The 14,596-nt window shown below is 39.4% G+C and overlaps 2 protein-coding genes and 1 long non-coding RNA gene across 7 annotated transcripts in view; 1 reads left to right on the plus strand and 2 right to left on the minus strand.

Annotated features, from left to right (window-relative positions):
* The window catches only part of RASA1 (RAS p21 protein activator 1), a 124,034-nt gene that overhangs the window by 46,316 nt on the left and 63,122 nt on the right, over positions 1–14,596 (plus strand). The gene's annotated exons all lie outside the window — the stretch shown is intronic.
* Positions 1–14,596, minus strand: part of CCNH (cyclin H) — a 101,460-nt gene that overhangs the window by 2,728 nt on the left and 84,136 nt on the right. The window lies entirely within an intron of this gene.
* On the minus strand, positions 4,217–9,430 carry LOC644285 (uncharacterized). The gene has a single exon (NR_130929.1). It is a non-coding gene; the product is annotated as an uncharacterized LOC644285 (long non-coding RNA).

The raw sequence follows: 14,596 nt of genomic DNA on the forward strand, positions 1-14,596 counted from the left end.
AAAATAAAGAAAGTGCATGTTTGGTTTGTTTAAGAAATGACAGGTAGTCCAGTGGAGACTGGCCAAGCCATAAAGATTACTGAATGCTGTACCAGTTGTTTAGATTTAATTCTGTAAGCAATGGGACTTTTTCAGTTTTGATTTGTGTTTTGGGCATAGTTGTTTCTGGAGATAATATTATAGATGTATAAAGAGATGGAAGACCAGTAAAACTGAAAAATCTGTTGTAGGAATAGAGAACATAATGGGTGGGAAAGGAAATGACAGGATGGAAGAAGAGAGCATAGGAAGGTGGAATTGTTAAGGCTTTTTGACTGATTGGATATGAGGGAAACAGGTAGAGAAATAGGTCAGAGATACTGATGAGAAGTTTCCATCAGGTTGAATTGTATTTAATTTTTTGGTCTTAAAAAAACCAGCAATAGATGGTTCAGCTCATAGCTTGGGTATCTGGATTGATGTTAATGGCAAGTAAAGATGAGAAACAGGAGAGAGAGGAGAGGTAAAGAGAAAGGCTGTGGGACGAATGATGATGGTCATTTAAAAAAAAAAAGTGTTGAGTTTTAGTTGTTAGTTGAGATATCCAGATTGAAAGATCCAGTTGCTGGTGGAAATGCAATTCTGTCTTTAAGGTTGATGGGAGAGTTAGGAATTATTTACATTGTTAAATGTTCTTTATTGTGATACTGGATGAGTATGACAGATATGTGACCTAGATTATTAGATAAGTGACACCCCCATCTTTAAGTTTGTTTCAGAGATCCTAAATAAAACATTTTTGAATATTACACCTTTTTGAGGGCATTATATTTGGGAGCTAGGCAGAATGTGGTTTCCAAATTATGTAAAGTATAAAGAGTTTTATATTAAAATGGATATATTATTCTGATTGTCATATTCACTATGTTCATAAAGAAGTACAGAATTACAACACAGCTTCTATTAATGGCTAACAGGCAAAAACTTCAGTCTTAGTCCATTTTCTATTACTGCAGCAGAATATCTGAAACTGGTAATTTATTTTAAAAAACTATTTCTTACAATTTTGGATGCTGGGAAGTCCAAGACTGGGCAGGGGGGTTGGCATCTAGCAAGGGCCTTCTAGCTACATAATAACAAAGTGCAGGTAGTCACATGGTAAGAGGGCAGGAGAATGCCAGCTCAGGTCTCTCCTTCTCTTATAAAAACCACCAATCCCATCATGGGGGCCTGCCCCACCCTGATGACCCTATCTAATCCTCACAAAGGTAGGCCTCACAAAGGCCCTACCACCAAATACTGTCAATGTATGAATTTGGGGATTAAGTTTCTAACAAAGGAAATTTGGGGGCACATTCAAATCATAGCAGCTTCCTTTTAAAAAAATCTTGTGTTTTTAAAGAAGTGTGCTATCTTTTGGGTTTTTCAGAGACCCTCTCAACCTAGAGTAAATATAGAATACTATTTAATAATCTCATATTAGAATGTTTAATATGGGAGAGGGTTGAACAACTGCTGTCAAGATTATTTTATGTGCTATTAAATAAGTAGCACCTTGCGAATAATAGTCTGCTTCCATTATTTTTGTATATTAGTAATCAAGCAGATTAAATACTTCCTAGGAATTATGGTTATTTGTTTTACTTCAAAAACAATGTTGATTTAAAGTACACTGCAGGTTTAAAAAGTTTAATTTCAAAAAATGGATATATAGGCTGATTCTTTTTTCTAATTATTGAAAGTCATTTGGAATTGCAATAAAAATTTTTCTGTGGTTTCTTCAGTAATTTGTAATTCAATTTATTAGTAATTTCCTTAAAATTAAAAAAATTATGGACACTATGTTAAAATCTGTATACCAAATAATACATTTTAAACTCACATTTTTGGATAATTTTCAGAACTATTAATGTTTAACTTTTTTGTGCTAGAATGCTCTGAGACCAGATCTGTTTGTTTGAAAAAGCAAATTACAAGTATAAATTTAAAGCAAATATGACGAATGGTTAGCTTGTGCCTTGGCTTCTGTTGCCTGTAATAGATGTGCCCTCTAAGATGTTCTTGCTATGGTACCTGGAAGATAATTCCTTCTTTGCCTGGTTACTATAGTTATCTTATTGAGGGCCAGTTGGTTTCAGAATGCATTTTAAAAAATGGGAAAAATAGCTGCGGAAAAAATAATTAGCTTTTCAAAAGACAGTAATGGATAGCTTATTCCGATTCCCAGGTTATCAGTAGATAAACAGTTAAATGGACAATCACAAAAATACTTCACAACCAAAGGTTCTTCTTCATTTTTCTCATCCTTAAATTTTCTACCTCTCTCCCTCAAATTTCATGGCATTTTATTTCATGTGTCAGGATTGCCACTATCTAAATATCTTTCTTCTCTGAAATTTCTAGACCTGTCCCACAGAGACTTGAGGATTGAGAACATGGAGAGTGGGAGTAAGGAAGTTGCATGGTCCTTCCTGTATCTGTTTTTAATACCCTGTGCCTCAGCATCCCTGTTTTGGGGGAACTTCCTGCACATAAACTGTCAAAGCCTCTCACAATTATAGATACAAAGCTGTTTTCTGGTAACTTGTGGACTCACTGATTTCTTCTTGCATGTGAGAAAAAGAGCTTTGGAAATTAAAGCGGCTCTAAAGTGCCAAGAATCTGAGTTTATGGGAAAAGTCACCTGACTCTGCTACTTGGATACCACATTTTTTTTTTTTTTGGAGAAAGAGTCTTGCTCTGTTGCCCAGGCCAGAGTGCAGTGGCGAAATCTCGGCTTACTGCAACCTCTACCTCCTGGATTCAAGCAGTTCTCATGCCTCAGACTCCCGAGTAGCTGGGATTACAGGCGTGTGCCACTACACCCAGCTAATTTTTGTATTTTTAGTAGAGTTGGGGTTTTACCTTGTTGGCCAGGCTGTTCTTAAGTTCCCGGCCTCATGTGATCTGCCCGCCTTAACCTCCCAAAGTGCTGGGATTACAGGTGTGAGCCACTGCGCCTGGCGGATACCACAAATTTGTGGTAACTTCATCTGTACTTTTATTACATGGTGCTCTTATTGCAGTCCTTTTGTTTGTGCGTTCCAGACTTTTAATAAATTCCCCTTAGCTGCTCTGCTTTGCCATTTTACCACACTGCTTAAGGCCTATCTTCTTCCTCATTAGATGGCCTCGATTACTACTTTATAGGGAGAATCAAAATTACATATTTTCAAGTTCACTCATCACTTTGCTTATTTGTGACCTTAAGGAATTAGACTAGATATCTGAAAGCTTTTTCCATCCTAGATATTTCATCTTAAAATAATTTTCTCTACTTTTTACTGTGAGGCAACTGTGTATTTGTTCTTTTGCCATTCTATGATTGTAGACATTGTGTTTCCACCTATCTTTTGTCTCTTCTGTTTTTAAGGAAAAGATGACCTTTTTCCCTAATAAGACTGTTTTTCTCATGCTCTTTTTTTTTTTTTTCTTTTGAGACAGAATCTTGCTCTGTTGCCCAGGCTGAAGTGCAGTGGCACGATCTCAGCTCACTGCAGCCTCGGCCACCTGGGTTCAATTAATTCTCATGCCTCAGCCTCCTGAGTAGCTGTGATTACAGGCGCATACCACCACACTCAGCTAATTTTTGTACATTTTGTAGAGACAGGGTTTTGCCATGTTGCCCAGGCTGGTCTTGAACTCATGAGCTCAAGCAATCCGCCCACCTCAGCATCCCAAATTTCTATAATTACAGGCTTGAGCCACCGCGCCCAGCCGTTTTTCTCACACTCTTAAGCTCATTTTTTCCCATTTTTTTTAGAGCTTTGCCTTTTCAAATATCCCCCCTTTATAATAGATAGTTGTAATGAAACAGTTTTCTAAAGGATATTTAGAGTAATGGTACTACCATTAGGTTGAGATTCATTGCTGGGCTAAAATGTTCTTGGCATTTTGAAGCGTGCTTTCATATATCATATAGAAATCCAGAGAACAGTTCTACCTGAGCTTCTATTATAACCCCCACAAATATTTGTGGATTCCCTACTGTATGCAAAGCACTGTACTAAGAATGCTATAGGGTATATAAAAATCAGCAAAATTTGGCCTGTTAGAGGAGGAGTTTATGGCCAGTATAGGGGAACATGTAAAAAAGTACAATGAGATAGAGGAAGATTGATATCTAAATGCAGAGGATTTTAAAGGAGGGTGTATTAGTTTGTCTTCACACTGCTATAAATAACTACCTGAGACTGGGTAGTTTATAAAGAAGCAATGTTTAATTGACTCAGTTCTGCAGGCTGTACAGGAAGCATGGCGGGGGAGGCCTCAGGAATCTTACAGTCATGGTAGAAGGCAAAGGGGAAGCAAGCACATCTTCACATAGTGACAGGAGAAACAGCATGTGAAGGGGAATGTGCCACACACTTTTAAACCATCAGATCTTGTGAGAACTCACTATCACGAGAGCAGCAAGGGGAAATTTGCTCCCATGATCCAATCACCTCCTACCAGGTCCCCTCCCAACACTGGGAATTACAATTCAACATGAGATTTGGATGGGGGTACAGAGCCAAACCATATCATTCTCCCCAGCCTCTCCCAAATCTCATATTATTCTCACATGTCAAGACACAATCATGCCTTCCCAACAGTCCCCCAAAGTCTTAACTCCTTCCAGCATTAACTGAAAAGTCCAAAGTCTTATCTGAGACAAGGCAAGTCCATTCCACCTATGAGCCTGTAAAATAAAAAACAAGTTAGTTTCTTCCAAGGTACAATGAGAGTACAGGGAATGGGTAAATGTTCCTGTTGCAAATGGGAGAAATAGCCAAAACAAATGGGCTACAGGCCCCATGCAAGTCTGAAACCCAACAGGGAAGTCATGAAATCTTCAAGCTCCCATATCCTTTGATTCCATGTCTCACATCCAGGGCACGCTGATGCAAGGGGTGGCCTCCTAAGGCCTTTGGCAGCTCTGCCCCATGGCTCTGCAGGATACAGCCCCCACAGCTGCTTTAATGGGCTGGCATTGAGTGCCTGCAACTTTTGCAGGCACACAGTGCAAGCTGTCAGTGGATCTACCCTTGTGGGGTCTGGAGGATGATGGCCCTCTTCCCACAGCTCCATTAGGCAGTGCCCTAGTGGAGACTCTCTGTGAGGGTTCCAGTCCCACATTTCCCCCTCTGCACTGCCCTAGTAGAGGGTCTCCATGAGGACTCTGGCCCTGTAGCGGAGTCCTGCCTGGACATCCAGGCATTTCCATACATCCTCTGAAATCAAGGTGGAGGCTCCCAAACCTCTTCTCTTGCCTTTTGTGCACCCACAGACCCAACACCATGTGGAATCCACCAAGGCTTGTGGCTTGCACCCTCTGAAGCCATGGCCCGAGTTGTACATTGGCCCCTTTTAGCCACAGCCACAGCTGGAGCTGGAGTGGCTGGGATGCGGGGCACCAAGTCCCAAGGATGCAGTTAGCAGCAGGGCTCTGGGACTGGCCCATGAAACCATTTTTCCCTCTTAGACCTCCAGGCCTGTACTGGAGGGGCAGCCATGAAGATCTCTGACATGCCCTGGGAGACATTTTCCCCATTGTCTTGGCTATTAGCATTTGGCTTCTTGTTATTTATGTAAATTTCTACCACTGGCTTGAATTTCTCCCCCCAAAATGGGTTTGTCTTTTCTATAGCATGGTGAGGCTGCAAAATTTCCAAACTTTTATGTTCTGCTTCCCTTTTAAACATAAGTTCCAATTTCACACCGTCTCTTCATACATATGAGCATATACTTTTAGAAAAATACCAGGTCACATCTTGAATGCTTTGCTGCTTAGAAATTTCTTCTGCCAGGTACCCTAAATCATCTCTCAAGTTCAAAGTTCCATACATCTCTAGGGCAGGGGCACAATGCTGCCAGTCTCTGCTAAATCATAGCAAGAGTGACCGTTACTCTGGTTCCCAATAAGTTCCTCATCTCCATCTGAGACCACATCAGCCTGGATTTTCACTGTCCATATCACTGTCAGCATTTTGGTTACAATTATTGAGCAAGTCTCTAGGAAGTCTGAAACTTTCCCACATCTTCTGTCTTCTTCTGATCTCTCCAAACTGTTCCAGCCTCTGCCTATTACCCAGTTCCAAAGTTGCTTCTGCATTTTGAGGTATCTTTATAGCAGTGCCACACTTCTCTGGTACCAGTTTTCTGTATTACCTTGTTCTCATACTGCTACAAAGAACTACCTGAGACTGGGTAATTTATGAAGAAAAGGTTTAATTGACTCACAGTTCTGTAGGCTGTACAGGAGTCATGGCTGGAGAGGCCTCAGAAGACTTACAATCATGGCAGAAGGCAAAGGGGAAGCAAGAACATCTTCACATGGTGACAGGAGACAGAGAGAGTAAAGTGGGGAAGCGCCACACACTTTTAAACCATCAGATCTTGCGGGAATTTACTATCACGAGAACAGCAAGGGGAAATTTGCCTTCATGATTCAATCACCTACCACCAGGTCCCTCCCCCAACACTGGGAGTAACAGTTCAACATGAGATTTGGGTAGGGATACAGAGCAACCATATCAGAGGGAGGTAATGTATTCAGTTAAAGGGGATTAAAAATGGCTTTATGCAAGTATACTTTTCCCTGTAACTCAACATAGTGTTTTGACAAGCAAAAATTGAATGATGACTGCATTGTGAAAAGACAAGGTGAAAACAAGGTAGTATTTGTAGAGTTACACATAGTCTGATTTGGCTAGAAGGGAGGCTGGAGCCTTTCATGGTGGCTTTTGAATGCCATGGTGAATAGTTTGTGCTTTATTTGTTATTGAATAGCAATTTGTACACTTCTGAGCTATTAGAGTGAAATGATTAAGCCTGTGGTTTAGGAAGAAAGAGCCTATTAGGGAGATAAATCTTTCCCTAGTTGTAGGAAGGGTTGGAACAGTATGATATGGAGAGGGTAGTAATGAATGAAGGAATGGAAAACGAGAATAATTTCAATGATACTGGAGGTGCAGTATACAAGTTGGCAGTAGTTTTATGTCTAGGAAGATAAGAAGTGTTTAGGAAAAACTCCCAAATTGTTTTTCCTCTGCTCTTACACCACAACAATCAACACAGAGGACTTCTGTGTCCAAATGCACAGTATTTCTCCCTGCCAAATAAGCAATCAGTTCTACAGTGAACACCAGCTAATTGGCTTTCAATTCATTTCTGTCACTACCTAGAGATAGTGTCAGATTCCCAACGGCTGAGGGCTCAGTCTTGGGGTCTGGGCCCTCCTTCCCACTGGTTGTAAGTCTGCATCTCTGGAACTTCTACCAGATGGCTTCGAGTTGGGGTTTCCACAACCCCCTCTTTGGGTTGGATTAATTTGCTAGAGTTACTCACAGAACTCAGAGAAACACGTTTACTGGTTTATTATGAAGGATATGTTAAAGGATACAAGTAAACAGCCATATGGCAAGGTCTGGATGCCATAGGGCAAGGTCTGGAAGGGTCCCAAATGTAGGAGCCTCTGTTTCCGTGGAGTTAGGGTATGCCACTCTCCCAGCAAGTGGATGAGTTCTTGCTCACCTTCTTGCCCACCTTCACATGTTCAGCTGTGAGGCCAGTCCTTTTGGTTTTTTATGGAATTTTCATGACATCAGCACTTTCCCCAATGGGAAGACCCCCCATAGGACCCTCTCTGAAATGAGGGCATTATGACCCACAGTCAGAAAAGTGGAGGAAAATTAGAGTCCTGCCTTGGTGCAGATGAAAGGAGGGCAGGAGAAGGTCAGGGATATTGTTTCCTGAGGCCTAACACACCAAACATTGTAATAAAAGACTATAACAAGGGTGATATAGCTTGAATGTGTGTCCCCTCCAAATCTCGTATTTAATGAGACCTCCATTGTTGGAAGTGGGGTCTGGTGGGTGTTTGGATCATAAAGGTGGATCCCTCATGAATGGTTTGCTGCCCTCCCCTGTGGTAATGAGTTCAAGTGAGAGCTGGTTGTTTAAAGCAGGGGTCCTCAACCCCTACTCCATGGACCGGTACCTGTCTATGGCCTGTTAGGAGCTGGGCCACACAGCAGGAGGTGTGAGCCACAGGCAAGCGAGCATTACTGTCTGAGCTCCACCTTCTGATCAGCAGAGCTTAGATCAGCAGCAGCATTAGATTTTCACAGGAGCGCAAACCCTATTGTGAACTCCTCACGTGAGGGATATAGGTTGTGTGCTCCTTATGAGAATCTAATGGTTGATGATCTGAGCTGAAACAGTTTCATCCTGAAATCATCTTCCCTGACCCCTTGTCTGTGGAAAAATTGTCTTCCACTAAATCAGTCAGTCCCTGGTGCCGGAGGTTGGGGACTACTGGTTTAAAGGAGCCTGGCTCCTCCCCCCTTCTCTTGCTCTCTCTGGTCATGTGATGTGCTAGCTCTCCCTTTGCCTTCTGCCATGAGTAAAAGCTTCCTGAGGCCTCACTGAAAGCAGATTCCAGCACCATGCTTCCTCTATAGTCCTGCAGAACCATGAGCCGCAATAAACCACTTTTCTTTACCAATTACCCAGTCTCAAGACAGACTAACACAAAGGGCTATGGGAGTTATAAGCCAGGAACTGTGGACGAAAACCTATTTTTAAAAATATAGATATATAAACACAACCACATACATAAATAAAATAACACCACAAGAAGGAATCAAAGTTGCTTTTGAAATTCCAGGTCTGGACACTAGGAAGGATGCTGGTGTTATTAATAAAGAGGAAGAGAAGTGTGAGAGTGTCTGTGTGTTTGTGGAGATATTTGCTAATTTTTTAAGATGTTGATATATTCACCTTAAGGTGAAGATTCTTGGGAGAGCTTTGTTAATTTAAGCCTGGCGTTTAGGAAGGAAGTTAGATTTAGAGAGGGAAATTTGGGGATTGCTCTCATAGAGGTTATAATTTGAGCTGATGGATAACTGATATTTCCATGACTGTGAATAAATACAGAAATGGAAAATTCTGAGGAAAAGGCACGTAGAAAATGCCTTAGTTTTAGGATGACTTTTGAGTAAATTGTGTAATATTTCACCCTTATTTTTTTAAAAAAGTTAAATAGGAGAAACACTTTGAGAAAGCATAGAGGGAGAAAACTAATGCCTTAAAACATTGCCTAACGCATAATAGGAGCTTAAAAAAATCTTTGTTGAATGAATAATTGTAACTTGTTTGGGATATAAGCCTATGTATAGTAGAAAAATGGGCATATTGTGGAGAACTTTTGAGGGAGAGAGTGGATAATGCCTGTTCCCCTGCCCTGTGCTCATAGGGTTATTGCTGATACCAGATGAAAGGACAGATCTGAGAATATTTTGAACTTTTAAAATGTTCTTTGAGGCATATTTCAGTTTGAGGAACTGAAAGAAATTCCATAAGTAAGGTAGTATGTCTGTATTCAGCAAGTAAGGTAACATGTCTGCATATAAGCTTATATTCTTTCCATTTTATTTGGTGGGAATTAGATTTGTAAAGTATATTGTAAAGAATGTTTAGGGTATTGTTATGGCTATATATCTTTTGATAAGTCAATTCTTTTTTTTTTTGCCTGTGCTTTTTCCCACTGCCTGTTATATTTTTCTCACTTTCCTTCTCAGTCCCTCACTTTTTCCAAGTCAGTTGCCATTCATCTTTTAGGTCTCAGTTTAGCCATCAGTTCTTTCAGGAAATGTATGCTAAAATTCTAAGACTGAGACAGGTATTTTTTTGTATCCCTGTGTATCCTCCTACTTACTATACCAGATTACAGTTGCTTAATTTGTCTGTCTTCTCCACTAGAACCTAAACTTTCCTGTCATGGTGTTCTGTCGTATTTACTGTTATATTCTACCATGTAGCACAATGCTTGGCACATAGTTTGTTGGAGATGAACTAAATAAGAGACAATGTTAGACTAAAGTTTACTTTTAACCTTCAGACGTAGTGATTTCTTATCTTCATGTGCTGAATGGTATGATACTATAATTGTTGAAGTTCTAAGAAAAACCCAACTATAAGAATTGATACTGTTTTGAGGATTTAAAGAACACAGATACAAGAGATTGAAAATGTGCTGTAGGTACTAATACTAGCCTCCTGCTAGTAGGTATTGTGCTAGCCTTCCCTCCCTTTTCCTCCTCTCTTTCAACATTTGATCAGTGCATAACATTTCTTGGAGAGGTGTGGTTTTTTTTCTTCCCTTCGTTATCTGTTTACTAGGGTGATGGGAGTTAAAGGTAGTAAAAACTTCACAATCATGGTTGAGTGCATTTCAGTGTAAACTTTGTATTCTCAACCTTTTGTATGTTAGTCTTTTAGTGAATTTTGGGTGGACAGAGTGTATGATAGTGCTGTTTCTTTAGAAATGCTCTCTCGAAACTAAAACCTCTTGGATTCTGTAAATATGTTACCTGTTGAAAAAGGAAACAGCATTTCTGCCCTTACTTTGAACTAACTTGATCTGAGATAAATACATACACACATGCACGCATGTGCACACACACATACATATGCACTCTAGTTATCTGGTTATATACAAATATACCCAAGAATACCTAATATAAACACGCCCTCTTCTCCCCTTCCTCAAGTTTAAGTGATGTGTAGTTGGTCTAAGGGGTACTACAGCTGTTTTGCTTAGCCTAGTGGTTGTTCAAGTGAATTTACCAGTGACCCAATTTTAGTCTCTATCATAGTGATTTGAAAAAAAAGGCCAAGTAAAGTCACTTAGTATGAGATAAATTTTCTTTACTTTCCTCTTCACTTTAAGAAATCAGTTGCTTTTTTAATTTTTTTATTTTTTTTTAACCTTTAGCAGACTGTATTAGTTCATTCTCATGATGCTAACAAAGACAAACCCGAGATGGGGTCACTTATAAAGGAAAGAGGCTTAATTGACTCATAGTTCCGCAGGGCTGGGGAGGCCTCAGGAAACTTACAATCATGGCGGAAGGGGAAGCAAACATGTCCTTCTTCACATGGTGTCATCAAGGAGAAGTACTGAGCAAAAGGGGGAAAAGCCCCTTATAAAACCATTAGATCTCGTGAGAACTCACTATCACAATAACAGCAGCATGGGGGTAACTGCCCCCATAATTCAGTTACTTCCCACCGGGTCGGGTCCCACCCACAACATGTGGGGATTATGGAAACTACAATTCAAGATGAGATTTGGGTGGAGACACAGCCAAACCATATCACAGACAGTAAGAATATATTTGTTACAAATAAATATGGGAGCTTAAGAAGATTTTTATGTTTTAGCAAATGCATACCAACTTGAAATCACCAATTTAGTTTTAGAAGACACAAGCGTGTGTAACAAAGTCTGATTAGCATTTTGAGGCTTGTAGAATAACTTCAGAAGTTTGTAGTATGATCAGGCACACAGAGTCCCAAGTGATTCAGATGCAAAAGATTTCTTGGCAATTGGATTTCTGCATGTATGTTTCTCTGTAGCTACTTTGGTGCCTGTCAGTAATATAACCAAAAGGAAAAACCAAGTGGAAAGTAAAAGTAATCTGCTGGTAACTTCAATTTAGTTTTCTTTTTATAAAAGGAACTCTATTGATGTTAGCACTGTTTTAATGGTTTTCTGTTGTGTAGTAGACAGTTTTCATTTGGGATTGTCAAGTTAGTTGTAAATAATTGTATAGTTTCAATGAAATGCCTGTCTGTATTCACACTAGGATATTTTCTCATTGCACAAATTTCCATATTTTTCTCTGATCAAGTGAGACAGATTATAAAACACAAAGGCCCCTCTAAGGCCCTTCGGATGTGTTCCAGCAATATGCAGCAGCCCCCCACCCCCTTTTTTATTTCCCCTGTGACAGGGTCTCTCTCTGTTGCCCAGTCTAGAGTGCAGTGGCACAATCTTGTCTCACTTCAGGCTTGACTTCCCGGGCTTAAGCTATCCTCCCATCTCAGCCTCTCGAGTAGCTGGGATCATAGGTATGTGCCACCATGCCTGGCTAATTTTTGTATTTTTTGTAGAGATGGCGTTTTGCCATATTGCCTGGGTTGGTCATGAACTCCTGGGTTCCAGCAGTCCCCTCCTCAGCCTCCCAAATTGCTGGTTTATAAAGTTGGGAGCTACTGCGCCTGGCCACAGCACACATTTATAAAAAATGTTCATGTGATTCCAAATTTAAAATAGAGTGATTTCTGTGACTTTTTTTAATTGTTCACTTTTTTAACATGCAGTTTCATCTTAGATGTATGATATTGTATGTAAATTGATTTGTATTTCTAAAAAAATGAAATTAAGGGACTCCATATCTACCTGTAAGATTTCTCAACAAAAATTTACAAAGCTAGCTGGGAAGACATGTATGTACTTCTTGAATTTCCTCCTGCTATTCCTTTTCCCCATCTTCCTTAGAGAGGCAAAGAAGAAGAGAGAGGGAGATTTACTTTTAAAATAGGAGAACATTAAATGCTTTATTATTAATGTGTTACATTAAGCAGTTTTAAGTCATAGTATCTCAAGTACATACTATCCTTTATATTGCCCCCAACACCCAAAATATACACACATTGGGAAAAGAATGGGGGCTCTTTGGGGGTTTCCTTCTAGAGTTGCCAGGTGAAATAGAATTTCTAGTTTATTAATAGTATGGCACTTGCAGCCCCAATTAATTTGAATGCTCTATAATGTTCAAAAAGAGTTTTGAGAAAATTTCCTCCTAAAATTAATGCCTTAGTAGAAAAAAAGATTGGTTTCTCCTGTTCTCTTCCCCAAATTAGATGGAAAGTAAACAAGACTGGAAAATAGGTAATTGAGACTAAGATGATTCACAGATTGATCACCCATTTTGCAACAGTCATAAAATTTGTTAGTTTTTTTGAAGAAGTTTATTAATCAGTCCCATATCCTTTGAGTATCCTCTACTCCCCTGTGATACTGGTTTGATATTAATTAAGCTAATATTTACTGGGTTCTTGGTATCCATTAGGTATTCTTCTAAGCAACTTTATATGTGTTAGCTCATTTAATAATAATATTAAGCCAACATTCTCTGAGGTAGACACTATTATATTCCTTTTATAGATGAGGAAACTGAGGCTCAGAGATAAAGTAATCTGCCTACATTTGCGCAGCTAGGTGGCAGAGCTGGGATTCAAAGACAGTGACTCTAGAGTCTTTTAACCGTTCTACTATAAAGCCTATGTAGTATTTTTCATTTTTGTATTTTTCTTTAAAGGAATTTAGTACAAGTCATTAATTTTATTCTGAGGTTGAGATAGAAATTAATTTCCCTAATTTACAAGTGATGGTAACGACATAAAAAATGTAAAGACTTGGCCGTAACTGTGGAGACAGTTTCTGACGAGATTTGGTATGTTTAGGGTGGCATTGCCATAGATTGGAGGTTTCTTGGGTTTCTGTTAAGTCTTGGTCTTCTGCTAGTATGCATTGTCTCTTTTGAACAAGCTCAGGGAGTGTCAGCATAATCATACTTCTTTGAGTTCTGTCAGCCTAAACTGTTTTCACATTCTTTTCACATGTCAGAATTTTTGGCTGGGTGCAGTGGCTCACACCTGTAATCTCAGCACTTTGGGAGGCCGAGGCAGGCAGATTACCTGAGGTCAGTAGCTCGGGACCAGCCTGGCCAACATGGTGAAACCCCGTCTCTACTAAAAATACAAAAGTTAGCCGGATGTGGTGGCACACACCTGTAATCCCAGCTACTTGGGAGGCAGAGACAGGAGAATCACTTGAACCCAGGAGGCGGAGGTTGCAGTGAGCCATAAGAGCATGGCACTGCACCCCAACCTGGGTAACAGAGCAAGACTCCGTTTCCCAAAAAAAAAAAAAAGAGAGAGAACTTCCTATGTGGACGTTAAAAAAGAAAAGTTTTTGTTTTGTTTTTTACATTGGCATGGTGGTTTAACTAGATGACTTATAAAGTATTTTTCAACATTGTTTTATGAGTCAACACTTCTTCTTTCATTGGACAAATACTTTTAAAACTTATTATTGCTATGTGCCAGGTATATTCTGTGTTATAATTGCCACAAATGTGAGCAGATTGATAAACTTTAACTTAGATGATGAGCTATTGTTTAGTAATCTCATGTTACACTCAGAGTATTCTCATACCACCAGTATGATTCTTATGCTTATGTTTCTTTGAGGTATTCTAGATTCCAGTTGAATTTTTTTTTAAACTTATTTGAAAACGGTCACCAGCAAATCTACTTTTAAAGAGATATAATAAGGCTTTGACTGTGAAGACTTAAGAGTAATAGTGGGGTTGATTAAATATGTTTTCTTGTATTTCTTTGTAATTTTATTGCTGTGACTATTTGTAGAGGCAGAAAGTGTAGCATTTTTAAAAATTGAGTATTTTAGACAAATAACCACTCCCAAAGTGTTCACTCTTGGGAAATGTTATATCTTTGTTATTGAGAGTATGTTTTGTAAAGCCATATCCCACCTGAAATAAAAAGAATTACAGACTTCAGAAAGTTAAGGTAGACAGCATTTTCTTGGCTACTGGGGCTAATTAGAATATATGATTCTCTATGCAGGACAGCCACCTTAGGGACTCTGAATCTCTCAGTAGGGTAAAATTTTTATATTTATATAAAAGATTGTGGGTTAAAAAATGGTTGAGAAATACTGTTT

The sequence above is a fragment of the Homo sapiens genome, chromosome 5 (assembly GCF_000001405.40).
Source record: "Homo sapiens chromosome 5, GRCh38.p14 Primary Assembly".
Classification (NCBI taxonomy): Eukaryota; Metazoa; Chordata; class Mammalia; order Primates; family Hominidae; genus Homo; species Homo sapiens.